Source organism: Homo sapiens, chromosome 3 (genome assembly GCF_000001405.40).
Source record: "Homo sapiens chromosome 3, GRCh38.p14 Primary Assembly".
Lineage (NCBI taxonomy): Eukaryota > Metazoa > Chordata > Mammalia > Primates > Hominidae > Homo > Homo sapiens.
Genome location: NC_000003.12, coordinates 118,271,848 through 118,296,921, shown reverse-complemented (window position 1 = coordinate 118,296,921; position 25,074 = coordinate 118,271,848). Strand labels below are relative to the sequence as shown.

The following is a 25,074-nucleotide window of genomic DNA, read 5'->3' as shown; positions in this document are numbered from 1 at the left end:
ATTGTATTAGGGTTATAAGTAATCCAGAGATGATTAAAAGTATATGGGGAGATGTGTGTCACTTATATAAAAATATGACATCATTTTACATAAGTGACTTGAGCATCAGTGGATTTTGGTAACTGTGGGAGTAGGGGTTGTGGGGATGTTTTGGAACCAATCCCTCATGGATCCTTAGGACAACAGTATTTGTTTCTTTTGTAGGTGAATATAGTAACTCTATGAGGGTACCATGATACCTTTAGAGGGTTGGATATTTTCCCTGTCCTTCTCTGGTGCTGATTACATGAATGTGAAACTCCATTGAGCTACATATGTATAATTTTGCATATTCTTCATATCTATTATTTTGATTAAAGAATTATTTACAGAAATATTGGAAGGATACTTCCTTAATATTAAACAACTACCATTATTGTCAAAACGATATTGTGCTAGTTCAAAAAATCCATTTCAAAAACTAAAAAATCGTAGAGGAACTACATAAATTCATGGATTAAGCCATTAAGGGTTAAATTTAAAGTGTATAAGCTAACTAGAGATTCTCATTTTGTTAATGTGTATCTCTTTGATTTTCATAAAGAACAATTTAACTAGGTGCAAAAAACAAAGTACAAAAAGTGGACTTTTTACTTTTGTGGACTAAACAAGAATAGCAATTTAGAACCAGTGATATCTAGTACAGGTATGTGCCACTTAATGATGGTTCCAATAAACTCAGGGAACAACAAAAAAAATACCCTTTTCCACTACCAGTATTTAATAACTTTATGGAAGTTCTATATGATGCAATACGTAAAGAAAAATAAATTAATGGTGTAATTTTTAAGAGGTGATGTCAAAATTATCATTATATGTAAGTAACGTGTTTGATAATTTGAAAAACTAAGAGCATTCACTATAAATTATCACAGAGTAGAAATAGAGAGGTTTGCTTATGTAAAAAAATATGTACATATACAGCATTTCCTTCTTATTCAGTTGCATTAACCTGTTAGAACATAAGATAGAAAAACAAGCATGTTAATAATAGCTATAAGATTCAATTTATGCCTGTTATTTAAGAGTAATTATTGTAATTATTAATAGTGTTTCCTTTCACTATTAAATTCCAATGGTTTGAATAGCAAGTTATATATCCACTTTAATAATAAGCAATAATAAATATAAAATATATACAAATAGACCTAATGAGAGATGTAAGATAAGTGCAAAAAAACTTATCAAAAATAATGAATATAGTGAGGCAAATACCAAGATTCAATACTAAGAATATTAACTCTCCATATAATACAATTTATACAATTATATAATTCCAGTCAAAATATCAATGGATGTTTTTGAACAGTTAAAAAAGTTTTAAAGGTCATCTTGAAAATTAATGTTTATAAGATTCTGTAAATTCTGAAAAGAATAGTGAGAGGTAGTTTGTATTGGTTAACATTGAGATGGTATTAGAATGCCAGAGTCATTAAAATTGGTATGCATAAAAACTGACTGATAAATAGTACACAAAGAAAGTAGAAAAATAGATCTGACCACATTGATATATAGAATGTGACACAATTTATATGAAGTCAATACTGAAAGTAAGCTGTATTTGGGGGGAAAGATTAATTCTAAATGGTTAAATAGTTAAAACTGAAAAGGAGGGAGAACCATAAAATGTCTAGAAGAAAATAAATGGGGCTCAGGGAAGATATATTATGTATGAAAGAAAAATCATACAGTCAGGTTGACATTTTGTATAAAAATTAAAATTGATATATATTATAAAGTTACCAATATTAACATAAGAAACTTAAAATCATAAAATGTTTGCAATGTTTAATAACATTGTTATATAATATATTGTAACACTTAGTAACAAAATAGATGAATAAACTTATAAAATAGCCAAAATGTATGTACAGGTTATTAATAGTTAGAATTATTAGTCATTAATAATGACAAAACCACCTAGTTAAATTGTTCTTTATGAAAGTCAAAGAGATACACATTAACAAAATGAGAGTCTTTTGTTAGTCTGTATGCTTTAATTTAACCCTTAATGGCTTAATCCATGAATTTATGTGGTTCCTCTACGATATTTTAGTTTTTGAAATGGATTTTTAAAATTATTTTGGCAGATCAATTACTTCCCTTTTTCCCATTTTTTAATTACCAACTAAGGGTGGACTTTGTACTTTTGTGGACTAATCAAGAATAACAAGTCAGAACCAGTGATATCTAGTACAGGTATGTGTCACTTAATGATGGGGATATGTTCTGAGAAATACATTGTTAGGAGATTATCTCCTTGTGTGAACATCATACACTGTATTTGCACAAACATGGATGACAAAACTTACTACACATTAAGTTACATATTATAGCCTGTTGCTCCTAGTTTACAAACCTGTACAATATGTTAATGTTCTGAACACTGCAGGAAATGGTAACACAACAGTAAGTATTTGTATAACTGAGCATCTCTAAACATAGGAAATGTCTAGTAAAAATGCAGCATTATAATCTTATGAGATCACCATTGTATATGCCGACCAGTCTCGATAAAAATGTCATTATACAGCACATGACTGTATTGGTAGAGTATTTTTATCCTTATGAAAGCACTTTAATAGTTAAAATTTCATTCCATTCTCACGTGCATTTTTATTGTAATCCTATTTACAAATTCATTCTTTCTTATCACACAATAAAATTAAATACAAATGGTATATGATTGATTGTTATTTATTTTTAACCCTACTTTATTTGTAAAATGCTGTATTTTGAAAAATATATAAATTTGTTAATGTCAGGAAGTCATATATGCACATAAATTAATTATGCTTAATTACAAATAGAATAGAGTACATAATGATCATGAATTTCATATCTCTAAAAATAGACTTAAAATATATGAAGCAAAAAAGCAAAGAATTTCAAGGAGAGAGTGATAGATTTCTTATCATAGTGTAAACATTTACCAGCTAATTCAGAATATGAGCAATGATGAAAAGAGAAAATTAGTGAAGATATAGAAAAATGGAACAAAAATTAATAAGCTTAGTACAATTGGTTTTTATAAAGAAACTACATGCAACAAATAATGAATAAGTATTATTTTAAAGCACATATAAAACTGACCACATATTAGGTCATAAGAAAACTTAATGAATAACACAAACCAAAATTATGCTTACCAAATTCTCTAAAAAGAAAGCATTATAATTAGAAATAGTAATTGAAGTTGGTCAATAAAATTCAATAAAGTTAGAATCCAAAAGCCTACTTTTAATAACTTAGGAATCAAATAGGAAATTCTAATCAAAATAACGAAATATTTAGACATGAACAACAGACTTGCAGGATGAAGCTTTATTTTAGATGACATATATAGCCTTAAATCCATTTGTCAGAAGACAATTATAAAAAGAATAATAAAGTTTGAGACTTTTGCTTCAGAACATGGAAATAGGAACTGTATTTAACCTGTTAATGTAAAATAATTATAAAACTGAACAAAATATATAAAGCCGTAATTTTCAAACATTGGAATGTAGGCAGACAATACAGTGAGATATGAGGAAAGAGAAACAAATAATGTTAGCTGTATGATTACGCCAACTCAACGTTTGAAGAGATTTTCCAGGATGCAGAGCAGGGAGAGGAAAATAAATTCATCCCAAGTGGTTAACAGGATAGAATTCAGGTATTTGGAGGCCAAGATGAGGAAAATTCACAGAAAAGAATACTAGACAAAAGAAAACTGCACAGGAAGACAGAGCTCTAGGGATCTGCATAGGATTCCCCCAGAGTCTTCAGATGAGTACTGATGAGTGCGTGTAGTTGTGGAAACTAACATGGTTGGGCAAATTCCAATTAGAAAGAAGCCTGTAGAACAATCCTTACACAGCACCAGGATGAGCTGATGTTCTTATTAGTCAGAGTTCTTATTAGGCAATGACTAGTATAAAGGCTGTCTGGACTCACCTAAAATATCTTAAAAAAAAAAAGACTTAAACAAAATGTTACAAAGTACCCTACCTGCATAACAGAACAAAGCCCACAATTATTTAAAGAAATTTAGTATTCAAAATATAAAATTGAGAAAGGCTGGCATCAAATAAAAAAAATTGGCATGAAAAGAAGCATAGAAATACAAACCATAATGAGGAGAAAAATCAATCATCAGAAATAGAACAAGAAATAACAGACATTGGAGAATTAGCAGAAAAGAACAGATTATAAATTATAAATTAAATACAGATTATAAATATATACATAAAACAGATTATAAATATATACCATATGCTCACAGTGAAGAGGAAAACTTGAGCTTGTTAAAGAGAGATATGGATGATATCAAAGGAATCAAATTAAGCTGCTAGAAAAAATTAGCCTGTATAAAGTGAAAAAATACACTGGGCAGATTTAATGGTGGATTAAACACTCTGGAAGAAAATATTAGTGATCTTGAAGACATGGCAGAAAGGAACAGTATGGTAATGAATTGTGAGAAAATATCAAACATCCTAATATATATGCCACTGGAGTTTCAAAAACATAGGAGAGGAAAAAGATAAAGCTATTTTAAGACATGACCAAAATTTTCCTAATATGATAGGATTCTAAAACCACAAAACCAAGAAACCCAGTAAACCACAATCAGCAGAAATCTACACTAACACATGTCACAATAAAGTTGTATTAAACCAGTGATACAGAAAATCTTCAAAGAAGAAGACAAAGGTAAGGAAAAGACCTATTATATACGGAAAAAAAAAAAGCCAGACCAAATGGATTCACAGCCAAATTCTACCAGATGTTCAAAGAAGAACTGGTACTAATTCTACTGAAACTCTTCCAAAAGATCAAGAAGGAGAAAATCCTCGCTAACTCATTCTGTGAATCCAGTATCACCTCGATACCAAAGCTAGGAAAGGAAACGAAACAAACAAACAAAAAAACTACAGGCCAATATCCGTGGCAAATATAAATGCAAGAGTCTTCAAGAAAATACTGGCAAACTGAATCCAACAGGCACATCAAAAAGATAATTCACCATGAACCAATGGGTTTCATCCAAGGGATGCAAGGATGGTTCAGCACATGCAAGTCAATAAATATGATTCACCACATAAACAGAATTTTAAAAAAAAGCATATGATCATCTCAATAGACACAGAAAAAGAATTTCGTAAAATTCAGCATTCTATCATGATAAAAATCCTCAACCAACTACGCATAGGAAGACCATATCTAAAAATTAATGAAAGCCGTATATGACAAACCCACAGCCAGCATTACACTGAATGGAGAAAAGTTGAAAACATTCCTGTTCAGAACTGTAACAAGACGAGGATGCTTACTTTCACCACTTCTATTTAACAGACTATTAGAAGTCCTAGCCGGAGCAATCAAGCAAGAGTAATAAAGGACATCCGAACTGGAAAAGAGAAAATCAAACTATCTCATCTGCTGATGATGTAATGCCAAAAACCCTAAGGAATCCTTGAAAAGACTCCTAGATTTGGTAAATGAATTCAGTAAAGTTTATATTATGCAATCAGTGTAGACAAATCAATCACAATGTTATATAGCAATAAGGACCAACCTGACAATTAAATCAAAAACTTGATTCTATTTACAATAGTTAAAAAAAAATACCCAGGAATAAACTCAACTAAGAAAGTGAAACACCTGTATAAGGAAGTATAAGGAAAACTATAAAACACTGTTAAAAGAAATCATAGATGACACAAATAAATAAAAAAAGTCAAATGCTCATGGATTGGAAAAATCAATATTGTGAAAATGGCCATGCTGCCCAAAGTAATCTACAGATTCAATGCAATTCCTACCAAAATATCAATGTCATTTTTCACATAATTAGAAAAAAAAATCGTAAAACAAATATGGAACCCCAAAAAGGGCCTGAATAATCAATGCAATCCCAAGCGAAAAGAACAAATCTGGAGGCATCACATTACCCAACCTCAAATCACATTACAAGGCTATAGTAACCAAAACAGCATAATACTTGTATAAAGGTACATGCATAGACTGATAGAATAGAACAGAGCATGTAGAAATAAAGCCACAAACCTACAACCATCTGATCTTTCACATAGTTGACAAAAACGTGTACTAAGAAAAGGACACCCTATTTAATAAATAGTGCTGGGAAAATTGGATAGCCACATGCAGAAGAATGAAACTGGATTCCTATCTCTCTCCATATAGAAAAATTAACTCAAGGTGGATTAAAGACTTAAATGTAAGATCTGAAGCCATAAAATTTCCAGAAGCAAACGTAGGAAAAATTTTTCTGGACATTGGCCGGGGTAAAAAATTTATGACTAAGACCCCCAAAGCAAATGCAACAACAATAAAATTAATGAGTCACTGCACCTGGCCACAAAAATATTCTTAACAAAATTTTTAGCAAATTTCATTAACAAAATATATGAAAGTAATACACCTTGGCTTATACTTGGAATATAAGGTTAATTTGGCATTCTGAAATCAACCAATATCCACTACATTAAATGATATAAAAGGAAAAACCATATGATCATTGTAATATGTATAGATAAATCATTTTAAAAAAACCATCAATTCTTTGACTAAAAATTCACTGCAAATATAAGACAGAAGTGAACTTCCTCAACCTTTTAAAAAGCATGTGTGTAAACCTTGCAGCTAGCATCATACTTGTTGGTGAAAGCTGAACGTATTCTTTCTAAAATCAGAGAAAAGTGAGAATGTCTATTTCCACTTCTATTAAACATAGAACTGGAGTTTGAAGCTAGTTCAAAAAGACAGGAAAAATAAAAAGAAAACAAAATAAGATAAATCTAGATTTTAGAGGAAGAGGTGAAATTCTCTTTAGTTGCAGACAACATAATTATTTGTGTAGAAAATTCTAAGAAGTAGATTAAAAAAGCTTCTAGAATTAATGTTGCAGGATGAAGATCGTAATAACAAGCAATGATTGTATATATACTAGCAATAAACAGTAGAGGTCAAAATTGAAAAATAATTCCTTTTAAATATTATTTAAATGTGAAATAGGAATTATTTTAACAAAATATGTACAAAACTCGCAATTTGAGAACTATAAAATATAGATGGTTTCTGACTTACAATGGTTTGACTTAGGATTTTCTAAACTTACAGTGGTACAAAAGCAATACGCATTTACTACTCTCCTCAATTTATGATGAATTTATTAGGGCCTGAACCTCATTGTATATAGAGGTTAAAATAATAAAAAAGTACTCTTTAGTAATAATTTTTAAAACATAGAAAATACAGATAATTTGTAAAGCAATTAAAATCTAGAATAAACATAATAATTTTTCATTTGTCAAAATATATTAACAATATGACCCCATTGCAAGTCAAGAAGTGCCTGTATTGCTGAGAAAAATAAAATGACATAAATTGAGAGAACTGATCATGGTTTGGAATACTTAATATTGTCAAGATGTCAATTCTCTCAAAGTCTATCTGTATATTCAATGCAAAACTGATTAAAAGTCCTAGAAATTGTTTTATTTTGTAGAAATTGACAAATTATAAAAGTTCTATGAAAAAGTCAAAGATCTATAATATTAAAAACAATTTTAAAAATTATGAACAAATTTGGAAGAGTTACAGTATTTTATTCAAAACTTAATATAATGCTACACCTATCTCCACATCACAGCATGGGCATAAAGACATAATTAGGTAGTCAGAGAAAAAAAACCCTTCAAAATAAATTCTCACACATAATGTCATTTGATTTTAAGAACAGTGCTATGTCAATTTAATGAGTAAAGGACAATCTTTCAAGACAGGGTGTTTGATATCCAAATGCAAAAAAAAAAAAAGTTTTTCACTCTTACCTCATATTACATGTAATACTTAACATGGATCATAGATCTAAATATAAGATCTAAAATTCTGTAATTTCTAAAGGAAAGTATAGGAGAAAACCTTAATGACTGTGAGTTAAGCAAAGATTTTTAAGTATGAGATAAAAAAGAATAAGCTATAAAAACATAATACATTGTATTTCACCAGAAAAACTGCTTTTCAAAAGTTAGTTAAGAAATTATAAAGAACAGCTATATACTGTGAAAATGTACCTATAAAACTTTTATCTGAGGAAAGATTTGTGTCTATAATATTTAAAGAACAATTACAATCCAATATGACAACAAAATAGAAAAATATTTGAATAGACACTCCACTAAAAAAGAGGATTTAAAATAGGTACATGAGAAGAGGCTTAACTGGTAATTAGATCAGTGCGAATTAAAACCACTATGAGATAACTACGCCACCTTCTAAAACAGATAAAATTTAAAAGGCTCTTCCTACCAAGTGCTGACATGAAATTGTAGCAACTGGAATTCTAATACACTGCTTGCGGAGATATAAAATAGTACAACTACTTTGCAAAACAGTTTGGCATTTTTGTAAAAATTTAAACCTGGCTATATCATGTGAAATAGTCATTGCATTCCTAGATACTTAGCCAAAAGAAACACCTATACACACTAATCTTTGTGGCAGCTTTATTTGTAATAGGCAGAAACTGGAGGCAACTCAAAGTCTTTCAATATTGAATGGATTAACAAAGTGTTGTGTAATCTGTTAAATCAAAATAATACTCAGCAGTAAGAACAAGCTATAGACACATGTCTTAGCATAGATGAATTTCAAAAGAAATATGCTCAGTGAAAGAAGCCAGGCCAAAAAGTGAAAACTCTGTTTTTACTTATATAAAATTTTAGAGATGAAAAATAATCCATATTGATGGGATGCATACCAGTGGTTTTCTGGGAGATCATGCAATATTGAGGAAAATGACAGGTGCATTACAAAAGGGTGCGAGGAACCTCTTAGGGCGACAGAAATGTTCAATATTTTGATTATGATGATTGTTCACAGGTACATACGTATGTGAAAATGCATCCAATTGTAAACTTTTCTATGTTCACTTTATTTTGTGTCAAGCACATCTCAGTGTCTATAACTATAATAGCAAAGTAAATTCAAAACAACATTACAAAAGAAAAAAATAGAAGTAAGAGTCAAGATTGTTGAAATATCACCAATTTTGTTAAATGTAGCAACCAAAATCAAAGCATGGTTATTTTAAAAGACAAGTGAAATAGTCATTTGACAACAGCTAGAGGGGAAAGAAGAAAGTACTAATAATATTAGGAATTTTAAAAAGTGTATGGCAAAATGTAAATGGAGTTTAAAATAATAAGAAAACAATACGTACTCTTTAGTAATAATTTTTAAAAAGTAGAAAATATACATAATTTTCAGAAGTGCCAAAGTTACTAATTTATAAAGTAATTACAAACTAGAATAAACTTATAATCATTATTCATTTGTCAAAATGTATTAACAAAATGACCTCAGACTAACACAGTTCCACAGGCTAGTGTTTGCCAAACTTTTAGTGAAATTATCACCTGTCCTATGTTCACTTTTACAAAGAAAATTTAAATAGAGAATATTTTACAATGCATTCTGGGAACTAAGCAAAACCGAATGAAGAAGCTGCCAAATAGTGTTTTTCTCAGAAATGCAAGGACAGTTTCACATAAACAGCACTGATTAAAACCAAAAAATATTATTTTATCAATAGATTCATGGAAAATCATCCAACTTAATTTAACACCCATTTGTGTTACAACATTTAAGGCCAACTAAGAATAGAAGACACCTTCCTTACCTTCATAAAGTTCTCTGTCAAAAACCTACCTGGGAGTATGTGCCACATGAAATACAGAAACATTTTTGTAAAGTGAGAAAGATCTTAAAGTTACTTGATGTTACTCCTCTTATTCAACACAACATTACAGGTCCTAGTCTTTGTTAAGAGGCAAGAAGTAACACATATACATGATAAGGTTTTGAAAGGAATAATTGAATTCTTATTTTCTAAAGATAATATGACTAAGCACATAGACAATTCTAGAAGATCTTTTTCAATCTGTTATAATTAAGCAAAGAATTCAATAATGTTGCTGGAAATTAGTCAATAGGCAAAAATCAATAGCATTCCTGTATACCACATGCAGTGGGTTTCATTGACAGCTGAGAAACTCTGAGCTTGTGGGAACCTGAATCTTTTATAACAAGCTGCAATATAAGGAAGGCTGCCCTTTGCCCCAAAGGAAGACATCACCTCTGTGATACTGGATGTTAACAACATCTGTCCTTTGCACTGCAAGGAGACACTATCTTTATCTTCTAAAGCTGTTTGCTCTACAAACCCTTGAAGAGACAGGCTGAAACAAAAGGCCAATCAGTAAGTTGCTTGTAAGATGTGCAGAAATATGAGAAGCCAATAGAGAATTATCTGTCAGCAATGATCTACTGCCCAAAAAAGTCACATGGACAAGCCAAGCCAATACGGGCAGAAACAATATGCATGGACACAGAGAGGTGTGATTCGTTTAGAGTCAGTACTGTAGCAATGTGTCACAGTCTTCAGTAAAATAATTCACTACCAGGTATAAGATATTCTTACACATACATACAAAAAAATACAAGTATGTTCATTATAATTTTTTCTAACAAGTAAAATATTGAATAAAATTTAAAGGTTTATCAAAAGGGAAATGAATAAATGGTGGTATATTCATACAAATAAGTTATAATAAATGATGAAAATAGTAATGATAGATAAGTTTTATTGAGTATTAACTATGTGCTAGGCATGGTTATAAACATTTAATATGCATGTCAGCTTACTAAAAAAAATTAAGATGGACCAGAGGCAAAAATCTTGACCAAGATTTGAGACGATTATTCTGGAATACAGTGTATCAAAATGGGCATTTGAAACAAAAACAAAATTAGTGAAAAAGGTCACTTGTGGGTGGATACAATATGAATTCATTCATATAAAATTTGAAGACATACAAAGCACTATTGTTTGTTCATTTCTTTCTTTGTGTCTTTATTACTCTCCATTTTTTTAATATACTTAAGTACGAGTTCCAACTTATGTGGGGTTTTGCTTTGCTCTCCTTGCTGGATTCTACCCTCTACTTCCGCTATTGAAATACATATTTCGTTTAGAGCTAAGGGTCTAATTCTGTAGCCAAGCCAAGATTAATGAGGCAAAGACCTGCAAATGATCCTTCTTTGGAGTTCCTTGGAGGTCCTAGGAAGAGTGATAGATACCTCGGCTGCTATTCTCTCCTGAGTCTGTTTGTTCTAGCATTGAAATTAACATCATGTTGTCTCTTATCTTTCAGAAAGTCTCTGAACTTTCAAATTCAACAATTATACTCATTTCTATTTTCCAGCAATGTTTGGATTTTCTTATTTTTTTGTATGCATTTCTTCATTCCGATTTGATGGGAGTTTTCTTGGAAGGGAGGTAAAATTATGTGCTCAATTCATCATCTGGGTTGGAAAATTGGGAAATACACCTCCATGCTGTGTTTTTACTTGTATTCAGTTTTACTGAATAAAAAGTTTTACTTTACTTGGAGAGGACTGTATGAATAACCTTGCATTGTCCCCTTGACTTTTTTTTTATTATTTTCTTTCAATTGCTACATTTTTCTTTCTCCTTCCCTCTCTCTCTTCCTCCGTCCTTGACTCCATTTTTCTTTCCTTCTTTCTTTTTATATATATATAATATATATTTTTATTATACTTTAAGTTCTAGGGTACATGTGCACACCATGCAGGTTTGTTACATATGTATACATATGCCATGTTGGTGTGCTGCACCCATTAACTCGTCATTTACATTAGGTATATCTCCTAATGCTATCCCTCCCCCTGCCCTACAACAGGCCTGGGTGTGTGATGTTCCCCTTCCTGTGTCCAAGTGTTCTCATTGTTGAATTCCCACCTATGAGTGAGAACATGCAGTGTTTGGTTTTTTGTCCTTGAGATAGTTTGCTGAGAATGATGGTTTCCAGCTTCATCCATGTCCCTACAAAGGACATGAACTCATCATTTTTTATGGCTGCATAGTACTCCATGGTGTCTATGTGCCACATTTTCTTAATCTTAACCCTTGACATTTTCTTTTCCTCACCCATCTATAGAGGGGAGAAACACAGTCAAATTGGCATACAATGTCCTAGCATATTTGCAGATATTACATGACTCCACCACAAGGTATGGTCTTAAGGGAATAGAATGTATTTCTTTCATAACTTAAACATTCATGCATTCATGTTTGATACCAACATAATAAATACTTTTTCACCATTGTTCTTTGATATTTTGTTATTTACTTTATATTTACCAAACTTTTAGATTTTTCCAGCCCTCTATGAAAACCACTGCACATTGTTGATCACATTCTCTGCTATTCTTGACAACCTCTTATGAAAGATTCTTATAAAAATCTTGTGTTTTACACATATTACTGTCCTCCAGTTTCTAAGTAAATTTAACAAATATTTATTGAGCAACTTGGATATTCTTGGCATAGATAACTAAGAGATAAATAAGATATGGTCCTTACCTTTGAGGAACTCACAGTCTAAGGGAAGAAAAAGACCCATAATCGTATTTACTAAACTATGATATAAAATGTGCTAAGACCAACATGTTTATAAAGTATTTTGGGCTCACAGATAAGCAGGTGATTAATTCTGCCTTCAAGGGTGAGGAAAAGCTATAGAAATTAAATGGCATTAAGTTGAAACTTGACACATAAGCAGGGGTTTCCAGAAGGGAAAAAGTGAGCAGGGCTATTCTGAGAAGGCTAAAGAGCACAAATGACTAAGATGTGAAAAGATATGGGGAATGTGGGACATTGTTAGTGAAATGTGATTACATTAAGAAGCTAAGTCAGGGAAAAAGCCTAGGGGTTAGGGGTTAGGGAAGGTTGGAGTTTCTGGCTAAGGAGTTTGGATTTTAGTTTGCAAGGAATTTTTTTTTTCTTTTACAGACAGGATCTCCCTCTGTCACCCAAACTAGAGTGCAGTGGCATGACCTAGGCTCACTGCAGCCTCAACCTTCCAAGCTCAAGCAATCCTCCCACTACAGTCTCCTGGAAGCAAAAAATAGCTGGTAGCAGCTCATGCCCAGTTATTATTATTGTTATTTTGGTATTTTTTTATAGAGACGGGTTATCACTAAGTGGCCCAGGTTGGTCTCAAACTTCTTGCCTCAAGGGCTCTTCCTGCTTGGCCTCCCAAAGTGCTGGAATTACAGGAGTGAGCTACCAGTTTGGGCCTAAAAGGTTTTGGAAAGGGAAGTGTTATGATCACATTTTTGTTGTAAAATATTTTATTCTGGTCCCCTAGAATGTAGGCTTTGTGAAAGTAGTAACCTTTTCTTAAAAAAAAATGTAGAGGTGGGATGTCTCTCTGTCATCCAGACTGAAGTGCAGTGGTATAATCACAGCTCACTGCAGCCTCGAACTCCTGAGCTCCAGTGATCCTCCCACCTCAGCCTCCCAAAATGTTGGGATTATATGAGCAAGCCACCATGCTGGGCTTGAAAGTACTAATCTTGATTGTTTTATTATTATATACACAGTGTTGAGAAAAATCCAACTGTATAGTAAGTGCTTAACAATATTTGTTAAATAAATGAATGGTAGCTAATAGTGGAAACAGACATTTTAGGTAAAAGGCTTATACAATAGTATAGGAAGTGATGGCAAGGGCCTTTGTTAATATGCCTCATTTCATCATCACAGTTAATCCCCATCGATCTGAAATGACAATGTAGTTTATTATCAAAATTGGAAAATATTGAAAATAAAAGGGAATGCACTTAAAATAATTCTGGAAAAGTAGGTAACATCATGGGTATACCCCAAGCCCAACCAGCAGAGGAGAAAGAGAGAAAGAGGCTCTAGGAAATGGTCAAAGACTGAGAAAGACATGATCCCACATTGATGTGCTTGTTCTTGTGGGGATGTAAATGTGCATATGTATGGTCTGGTCTACGTTGCAGTCATTACCTACCCTTGGAGTTATTAAAGGTGTGTGAAATATAGTATATTCATAATATTTGAGCAAAAATATTTAAGACAATACCACAATGGCTGGGATAGCTGCACAAGAAGAGAATCTTCCCATTGAGAGATCAATTCTGGGGCAATAAGTGACCACACAGGAGGTGGTTGAGTATTGAGTGTTGAGTAGCTGAGGAGGTTGAGTGTCACCTGAAGTTGACATTACTGGCAAACTGTTTCCCTTTTCCTGGGTTCTTTTGACAGTTTGGTACTGAGACACAGAGATGCCTGGAGCTGTTTAGGTCAGGGTGAGGGAGGAATGCTTGCTTCTGCTTTAAGGAGACAGATAAGGTGTAAGTTAGGGCTGTCTGAACTATTAAAGCACATTAAAGGAAGACTTGGGTCCGTGCACTCAGAGCATGAACACATCTAATGGTCGATATGAGTTATTCTTCAGGTTGTGTCTCACTATCTCCAAACCATCTGTAAAACTCTCTTTAAAGTTGCAGATTTCCCGGCTTCCACCATGAGAATGTGGGGAAGATGCTAGGAGGGAGGATATTGAGAGTGAAGGGGTTTGAGCCAAGCTGCAGCCACCTGAGGAAAGCCGTCTGAGGAGGAGGAGGAGCATGGCTGGGTAATCAGAGGCCTGGGTAGAGTGTGGGGTGGCAGGCAGAAGAAGTCAGATTTACCATTCATTTTCATATTCCTCGCAATGTTTTGGAAGGGAAACTTGGTAAAAGGTAAGACTTTACAAAGTTAAACAGACTGGGAGTTCAAACATCATAATTGAATATTAATTTTATAGCCTCAGACTGGTAAGGCTAAGATATTTAGGTTTAAAAACGTTTTTAAAGGGGTATTTCTAATTCCCAGAAGCAGAAGAGTTTTTCTCTTATCTTCCTTTTGCCCAAATGGCCAACACAACAATAACAACAAAAGCAGTCATGCCTTTATTTTTTCTTTCCTACTGCACCTTTCCAGTTTTTTTCCTCTATATCCTTTCCCCATCACCACTCTTCAGCCTTTTTGGCTATGCTTTTTTTTTTTTTTTTTTTTTTTTTTCAGTCCCCACTTACTGACACTGATGGTGATTCTGAACTTAGAAGAAAGAAAAATTCCGGGCTTCATAATCTCTGCTCCTGCTGTCATTCTTTCTGCCATTGATGTTGAAGGTTTTGTCCTTTTACCAGCTTCTGTGTGGCCATGTGCCATGCACCCACAGGCTTCTTCTTGCTTTACTCTTCCTCCAGTTGCTCGAATTGCTGTCATATGTCTTACAGAGCTCACTATTCTCCTCACCCCAAGGCGACATCAGCCACCTCTCAGCAGGATTCAGTAACTCACTAGCTCATTCACTCACAGATACACGTTATTTGTGTCTCTGGCCTTCACTAACAAGAGGCAGAAGTAAAGGGGTTACTATTATTTTTTTGCCAATAAAGAAACATAAGTCCAGAAAGGTCTTGATGAAAGAAGGAAAGCCATTTAAAATGCAGATTAACAAATGTTAACTCAATTACAGAAAAGTCTACTTATGCATGCTGAAAAATGACTGTATCTGGGGAGTTCTCAGTGGCATCCAAAGTAATGCCACTCAAGATTGGGTGCTTACCAAGTTAACCAGGTAAAAGAATGTGACATATGAGTCCATGGTGGTGATAGGGGGCTCCTCAGCAGAGCTGCTTCTGCAACCACTCCTGACAGCCTGGACACTCAGCAGTGCTTCGGCTGCCATTGAGCCACCATGATGGTGGCTCTGCTGCCAGGTTAATCAACTGCCACGCTAGAATAAGCACAAGGGTTGGATAGATGGTTAGAACTGATATTATTTAAAAACAGGAAAACTGTGAGCTATAAAGTGAGATTTGCAATGGTTTTAAACAACATTAATTTGTGAGAAATGCAAATACGATCCTCTGGAAATGCCAGGTGCCTACATTAGTGACTCTAGCATTTGTGTAAGACAGAACACACAGCAACCTGGTGCTCGAATTTTAAAATTTAAGAACCATAGTCACGCTCTTTTAACGATTCTGGGGCACTTTTACAAATGTCTCATTAACAATGTTTCCATATCGTAAAGCCAGATGGGAGAGGCTATCTTTTATTTATCAGCCTCAAAATAAAATGCTATCATCTCTGGGATTTGAAAAGAATGTTGGAGGCTTTAGTTTTCTTCCTCATCCCCTCATCACCACCACTCCCACCCCCAGCCAACTTTTGTTATTGTTTTGAATTCCTCTGCTTCAATGTGAATGCCAGTTAATTAAGCTGGTTTTGTTATTCAGCTAATTCAAACCACTGATTTGTACACTTGCCTGAGCCTCAGAGCTATCTGGGAGAGGTTATTTGAAATACATATATACATATTCTTGGGTCCCATTCCAGAGCTCTAAATTGTACTTTCTATATGATATAGGAATCTGTATTTTTCGAATTTCTGCAGTGATTCTTATACAATCTTGTTTTTGGGAACTATTGAAATGGGTAACTTTCCAATCTGATTAGTGTCTGAACTGGGATGCACAGAGTATCTATCCCTATTGATAACTCGAAAGTTGCTCCAGGCCAAAGAATCCCAAGGGTCATGGCAAAAGCATGTCATATGTCTCCTTCTGGAGAGACTAGGTCAATTTCTGAATCTTGTGGAGGCTCTGCCTGGGGTTGCAGAAATGGAAAATAGATTTGTTGTGGAATCACTCTGGAAAGTCTGTGTCTTTTGTGGGCTGCCTTCATTGACCTGGTTAGTACCCTAAAGTATTTTAAGGGATTGGCAAGTATTTCAAACTGTTGAGAGCAATGTAAATTGTAGTGAGGATGTGTGTTTTGAGATGAGATTAGAAAGTATGTTTGTGCCATAGAGAATGCCTGCTATGTAATATGATCTTTCTTTACTTTCAAGCAAGTAAACAACTATATGTGCATTTATTACACTTTTAAATAATGCAATTAATATGGAATTTTTACAAAAGAGTGATACCATGAGATATATGTTTTTGAATGATATGCAGTTAGCAGTAAGCGGGATGGATTGGAATGGGAAAAAAATTAGAAGTGGGGAGATAAGTACCATGGTGGAAAGAGCTTGATCTCAGGCAGTGGCTATCAGAAGATAGAGTCAGGAGCAGATTTCAAACACATGCCTTAGGTAGGACTAGAAGAACTTCTTTAAATGACTTTGTGAGACCGGTTATAGAAAAGGAGGAATGGGGGATGACTCCGATGCTTTAATTGGAGTGACTAGAAAGACGGACATACTCTAAACAGAGGCTGAAGACACATTAGGAAGAGTAGGCTTGGCTTTTCTCTGCTCAGCTTGACATGCCTTTGGGACATGGAGGTGAGCCTGTTCATTAGGTGGTTCAGCCTGATGCTTGGGACTAGAGTTCAAGAGCAAGAAAGAGGAAATGGAGAACTTGGGGAGATAGGCCATTGGGGAAGCAATTTGATCCTTAGAGGGGTGGATAAGATTGCTCATGTGGAATGCACAAAATGAGGGGGAAACCAAGGATGAAGACATGTGCACGAAAGAAAAAAGAGGTAGTATAGTTTCAGGGTCCATTAAAAGGAAGCATTGAACAAATTGTCTGAATACTCAGTTCCTGGTGGGGGAGGCTGGGTGGCTGATGGGATGCTGGTTTTGAGTTTGTGCATGGTGGTGGTGATGAGGAGAATGAGGATGTGGGAGTGTTCAATGAAGACTTTTCTCCACTAGCCTTCAGCCATAGGAGATGCATGGGGAAAGCCAAATCAGAGTGGGAAATTAAGCTTCAATAAGCCAAAAAGTGAAGTCCAAACAATTATGAAAATCTCAGTTCCCATAGCAGGTGCTGCATGCTAGAGTACAGAGTCAGGACTCAGGAGCCAGCAGAAGGACAGCCAGCAGTGGACTTGAAATCACTGGGAGTGGTTTGGAGGCCTCTGTCTATGTATTGTGTCCCGGGACTTTCTTTAAATGGGCCAGCCACAGTATGTTGTGTGACAAACTAGCCAAATGCAGAGGCCAAGGGATAGATACCCAGAAATAGGTAACTGTTTCAAAGACTTCCTTGCATTAATTTCTGAAGCCCCAGTACTGTGCTTGGCACATAGTAGGCTATCAATAAAGGTCTGATGAAGGAATTAGTAAATGAACCAGACTAGCAATTTCTGGGAGTAAATTAAATTCCTAGAAATCCTAAAAATGACTGCTGGTTCAAAACAGTTCTATTGAGGTAGTCTGGGGATTCCAGCCTCCCCGGCTAAGATGTCCAGGGGGAGCTCATTCACCAGAGAAAACTTCTGGGTCACTTTTGCTATCCTTGATGGAATGAAAAGTTCTCCCACCCTGATCCTCCCTGTAGAACAAACAGATAGTCTCCCCTTAAGATCCCTTTTCTTCATTATGAGATTGGAGAGCCAATAGATAAAGAATAATGAACCCTATCAGAAGCCATAATTATCTCACACAATTTTAGTTTCATAAACTTGTAATGCTATAATTTTCTGTCTTTTCTTTGAACCATTGTTTTGAAAGACTGCAGTGTGTTCTTTATTTTCCCTGCACCAGGGCTGCCGTCGCCCAGCATATCAAGTCCACTATATCACATTAATGGGTGCCAGCTCAACAATTTGATACTCGATCCCATATATCAACCACTGATATAATCCATTGCCATACAGTATATTTCATTTGCATTTATCTTTTCCATACACAGCACTCTCTTTTATCACTCTTCCCATGGCCCCTCTTCTCCCCCCTGTTTATTCTCACTGACACACACCTATACTTTCTTCCTGGCTGTGTTATTAATAATCCCTACAAAGACCTTTCTCCCCCTTTTACCTTTTCTCCTCTCAGTAACTGACAGCTCCTTACAATCTGGCCTTTTAATGCAGTAGAGTCAGGCCTGAATGAGGATGTTTCTTTGTTATTTTCACAGACATTAGCATAGCTGCCTGAGCTGGTACTCAGGCACTTTCTCTGGATATGATTTATGACATCAATCCAATTTATGGCCATTTAAAGGAATGCTGAACTGGCTGTAAATCAGCAGAAGCACATAAAATACTCATGAGAACTGCTGGAATCCATCTGCATCAGCCTCCATCACCTGTAACAGCAGCCAATCAGCAGCAAAGAGATGAAGCTATCATATGGGCATAGGGAACCGATGGCAATGATAGGTGCATCAAGGAAAAACCAATCACTTGATGATAGTAGGCAGGACAGACATGAATTTCAGGTGGGTAAGAAAAGTCTACAGTGGCAGAGGGTGGGGGTGAAAATTTGAGCTGGTAGCTAATAGGTGCATGTTAAGGAGATGTAAAGGATCACATAGCAGTAACTACCATATTTTGCAGTGGTTAAAGTTTACAAAGTAAATTCACGTGTGTTTTCTCATTTAAGCCTATTGGTAACCTTGGTAATTGGGTGTTATTTTGCCTATTTTGTCTGAGAAAGATGGAGGCTATAATTACTAAAGGGACAAATTAAGTCTGTATTCTCCCTAACATTGATAGCGAAGCCAAAAAAATAGTGAATCATTTTGCATTGTTGTAGTCAAGTAATTAATTGAGGAAAGACATTACAGTGCTTTAAATATATTGCTAGCCATTTAGTGGCATGTTTGCCACAGATGATTTATTCTCTGTTTGCATATAAGGATTAATAAACCCTTGAGAGTTTTTGGCTATTTTAAGGTATTTGTCTTCTAGCGCACTGTTGAAAAAAAAAAAAAATCCCTCAACTAAAGCTAGTTGTTTCTTCATCAGCTCTTTAGCTCTTTGCTTGTTACATATATCCATCAATTTTCTCTTTCACTGTCCCTTACATTGTGCTGGTGCACATGTGTGAATGAATAATATTTTGACCTATTAATTTTTATTTCTTGCTCTCTATATTTTTCCTATCCCCCGCTTCCCCATTCAAACAGATAACTGATGTTCTGCCCGTTCCTCCCTGTGGCAGAGAGGACATTAGACATAGACTGGAAAGACTGCCTAAACTTTTATTCTCAAAGCTGAAGGATCAGAATGGGAGAAAACTTTGGGGTGGAACACTATGTCTGGGAGAAGCACATAGGGATGCATCAAACCCGCTGGGGGCCCTCTCATCTATAGATCTCCCTGTGCTGGGAGAAAGGGAAAATAGGAATCTGAAGTTACTGAGCTCTGGAAATCTGGGCCCTGGTCATTGGCAGCATTGCTTGGTGGTCACAGATTCCATGTGTGTTTATTACTTTAATTACAAATATTTTCAGTTAATGATTTCTAAAATCCCATTTGTGTGTGTGTGCATATGTGTGCATGCATCTTGACCTTTATTCATTTCACGATAAACTAGGGTTCAGATTTTTCTCCAAGCTCATTGATAACATATTCTCTGACATGTGCATTTTCCCATACCTGGTCTTTCAGGGAGTTACATATTTCCTAATGATTTTTCACTATTTCCCTCACCTGCTTCCCTCCCCTCTCATAAATTATATCCCTTGGACAAACTTTTCCCCAACTGTGCGTAAGTTGAACCTTTCAGAGGAAAGATGCTATAAAACATCCAATCGATAAATAACCCTGTTCTCTTCATAGAGTAAAAGAGTCAATCAATCTTTACTTCTCCACATAAATGTGCATATCTTATCATAGCTCAAACCCCATTACAACTGTTTCCATGGGGGATTTCTTTTTGGCTGTAAGGGAGATTTTGTAGAAGTAAAGAGGGTACTTCATGTAACCAAAATTCTTGAGTTCTTTTCAAACTAGATGGAGGAAGTGAACAGAAAAGCAAAAAGGCTCTTCAAATTGTAGCTGCTTAGTACCTGTGTTAGACAAGATCTGAATGTTCTCCATGGATGTACTGACTTTGAACAGGTCTGCTTTAATTTTCAAGCAGCATCTAGGACATGGACAGTAATCCCTAAAGGGCTCTAGACCCTTCCTCAGCAAGACTTCACACATTCAAAAACTGTAGATGAGCTATGCCTGGGATCATGTAGTCATTACCTTTGATTAGATTTAATCACTCTAATTTATGAAGGACACGGAGTTGTTTGGTTCTGAATTGTAAAGACTGGTTGTGTATGTTTTATCAATTTGGTAGAAATTTTCCATCATAGTACATCATTTTGGATTTGTTTGTATGACTTAACAATTCCCATTATTCCCATTCTATTCTTCAATGGGCTGAATTCCCTTTTGGGGTGGTAGGCTGAAGATATCAGAAGAGGCCTCACTGGGGAGCCAGGAGTTAGTTATCATGGTGGTAATTGCAGATTTCAATAAGAGAAGACCCTCTAAGGCAATGGTAGGCATCCACGCTGGGGAACCTGAGATTTGGCATAAAGTATGCAGCTCAGTTACCTACCTTGAGGTAGAATTTCAAATCACATATTATTTGCATATCAACACAATTACCTCAGGTACTTATAAGCTGCTTAACCTTTGTGAAATTTATTAAACTCTCTCTGCCTCAGTTTCTTTATCTGTAAGATAGAAGAGCCTAGGATCTGATGGTTTTCCTGCTGAATACTTTATTTGTAAAACAGGGATAGCAATAGTACCTATTTCAAGGTTAATTGAGGTATTTTATATGAAGTGCTTAGAATAATTTGTGGCACATAGTTAAATGCTGAATAATATTGGCTATTAGTATTTTTGTTATCATTATTGCTTTGTATTTTATTCCTGTTAGTTTTTCTTGCTAAGGCTAACCAAACTAAATTATATTACCATTACTTATTTAGCCTCTAGCTTCTTTATGTCTAAATTGTTATGTTATCACCACTTCCTCCTCTGACAACTCCTATGATCCACACATGCTGTAATTTAACTTGCATCTGTTCTCACTCAATGCCTATACATTGAATCAATTCCATCCAAACTCCATAAATCCTCATCAGTGAACACAGTGATCAACAGCAGGGATTCCCCTACCTTGCCCATCTGGTTTTCCATACAGTATTTCCAACCTAGCTTTTTGGTTATTTATCTACTAGAATTTATACCCCATCTATTTAAAAAAGGACGGAGGCAGTAAACATCAATAACAGAAAGCTAGCAATACTCTCAAAATGAGCTAAATTGCCATGTTAAAGATTTAGAATGTATGTGAAATTCTTTTCCTAAGAGCAAGGGTCATTAAATGCTAGAGAGGGTTGCCAGATTATTTAAACTAAAATATCAGAGCTTTAGGCTCACATATTTGTATGCAAGTGATATGTGAACACAGGGCAGAATGCTCAGACATACAGCCAGCAAGCTCACAGATCATATTATATCAAAACATCCCATTAATTACCAGGTAATTTTACTAAAACAAAAATAACAAATAGGATTGATAAAAAGCTGTGGAAGGGATGTCTGGATTAAAGAAGCAGGCATTAAAAATATTAAAATGACATATACTTTCAGTTAATTACTGTTCTAATCACAATTGTAGCTTTATGCGTTAAGAAGATCAATTCTTTCTAATCTTCTCTAATAAAAAGAAAAACATGGGCGTACATACTTGTTATGGACTCCATGTTTGTTTCTTTCCAAAATTCATATGTTGAAACTCTAACCCCCAAGTGGGATGGTATCAGAAGGTGGGGCCTTTGGAAAGTAATTAGTTCATGAGGATGAAAACTTCATGATGGGATTAGTGCTCTTATAAGAAGAGACATGAGAAAGCTTGCTTCCTTTTTCTTTGCTCTTTGCCCTGTGAAGACATAGTAAGAAGATGTACATCTGCAAACCAGGAAGGGAGCCCTCGCCTGACAACTAGATCTGCCAGCACCTTGATCTTGGATTTTCTAGCCTTTAGAACTGCAAAAAATAAATGTTTGTTGTTTAAACCACCCAGTCTATGATAATTTATTATAGCAGCCTGAGCTAAGACAATACTTAAAAATATGGTTCCCAGGCCCATCCAAGATGCTTTAAATCAGAATCTTACTGGGAGAGATTCCCAGTAAAACAAAATGTTTAACAGGTATACATGTGATTTGTATTTTTGATTGATGTTTGGAAAACACTGAGTTGGAAGATCATTTGGTAACCTGACCTGTCTCCTTTGTCTCCCACTGTGAGTCTTCATAGAATTTATCTTAGATTAGGGGAAATCATTAATGCTGCCCTAGTGAAAGATTACAAGTGAACATCATCAAAGGCCTAATGCCAGTTGGGAACCATTTACCATCTTTTAACCATAGAAGAATATTTTCAAGAAACCTTAGAGAATTTAAAGCTACAATATGGTTATCCTCTAGTTCTGACACTTATGGTCTGTGTGACTTTGTTGAGGACACTGACTTTTGATGCCTTTGGTTTTTCTACCTATAAAATGGAAATAATCACATAGTAGGTTCTTCATAAGATTGCAAGACCAAATAAAACAAAGAGCAAAATTTAACATAAATGTTAGTTATTATTATTATTATCATTCTTTCATTGGTGCTTCAGCTACCCAGGGATAATTTTCCCCATTAATCTTCAATTATTTTCTTCCTCTCTTGTCTTTTCAATGACATAGCTAAGGGTGCTTTTTTGTGCTGCACAGACTCTGTTCTCTCTCTCTTTTTTTCTTTTCATACCTTTTTGATCCAGAGAGGAATATTTAAGAGTTTCTATTCTTCATCCTTTCTTCTCTAAAGCTGAAGGCTGATGCCAGCGCAGCCATTTTTATCCCTCAGAGTAAGAGGGGAAATATGAACTTGGCTGTTGGCACTGCTGCTTTCTATGACTTCTCTTTTTTTAAAGGCAAAGTTATTCCACAACTTGACTAGTTGGAGCTGAGATAAATAAGCTTTCCAAAGCCACAGAACTCAGAATAGAACTTGGATTTCTGACTCATCAGAGGCAGTTTAAACATTTTCTCCATCTGTTCTAAACGCATAAAGAGACTGGTGGTTCTTGTGCTTCACTTATTGGTAGAATTAGGAAGGAATACCCATCCCATCTTAGCACATCTGCCTCCCCTATGGATGCATCCACCCACTACCTCATTCCCTGGGATGCCTGTTCCTCTAAAATTATGGAAATTATAGTACTTTGTGATATAGCCACAAAGGGATTGCAAATTTTCTATTGTTCAGAAAGTTTGAAGACCTTGAGTGAATAGAAAGGAGAATAATATGATGTGAAATCCAGGGTAAAATGTGGACAGCAGTAAACAAGAATAGAGGACTTGGAGAAAGCACGCCCTTGCACGTGATTTGTGTCTACTCTCACATGTCACACATGGATGCATATGCATGCACAGACAGTTGATTAAAAAGCCCCAGAATGACTAGAAGAGAACCACCAAATCAGAGTTCAGAGACCCTGAAGGACTACTTTCTACCTGACCCTAAGTGGTGAATCTGGGATTCTGTTTATTCTTTTCTAATAGATTTTATATCTTTCATGGTCTCTGATTCTTCTTAAATTCTAGTATGCTTGAGAATTATCACAGGGTATTGTTAAAATATAAATTCAAAAGCGAGAATATGATGTGGGGCCAGAGCACTACATTTCTAATAAGCCCCAGGAGATCTCCAAGCTGCCGCTCTGCTGACCACATTTTATGAGCAAGGGGCCCACCACATTTCTTAGTCAATAGCATGAACATTAAGTTGGAGAAGCGCTGAACTACAGTGATTCTCGAACTTGGGCTATACATTAGAACACCTGAGAAACTTGAAAATAGATCGATACCCAGACATTTGATTTAGTTGTTCTGGAATGCAGCCCAGACATTGAATTCTCAAGTGATTCAAATATATGGTTAGGTTTGAGAACTCTAGACTTATATCTACACCCTATATTGTTGGTTCCCAACATATAATCCCAGGTCAGCAGCATCAATATTAACATCACCTGGGAACTTGTTAGAAATGCAGATTCTCAGCCCCCAACCCCCCTAGGCCAACTAAACCAGAAACTCTGAGGGTGGAGCCCAGGAATCTGTATTACAACCTCTCAGATAGATACTAAGTTTGAGAACCTAGGGTTCCAGGAGAGGGCTTGTGAAAAGACATTGTTGCTCCCACTTGCCTAACTCTGTAGGTCTTGGAAGGGAGTAAGACCTTACTTTGAGGCCACAGGTCTCCATGAAGGAGATCAGGGAGAGAAAGACAGAGGCATTATGGCTTTAGCAGAGTTTACAAATGAACTTAACTAGGAAGGAA

At 35.1% G+C, this 25,074-nt stretch overlaps 1 long non-coding RNA gene across 1 annotated transcript; it reads left to right on the top strand.

Annotated features, from left to right (window-relative positions):
* Positions 1-21,146: 21,146 nt before the first annotated feature.
* On the top strand, positions 21,147-22,764 carry LOC124909416 (uncharacterized). Its single transcript, XR_007096024.1, has 2 exons — positions 21,147-21,230; positions 22,634-22,764. It is a non-coding gene; the product is annotated as an uncharacterized LOC124909416 (long non-coding RNA).
* The last annotated feature ends 2,310 nt before the right edge of the window (positions 22,765-25,074 follow it).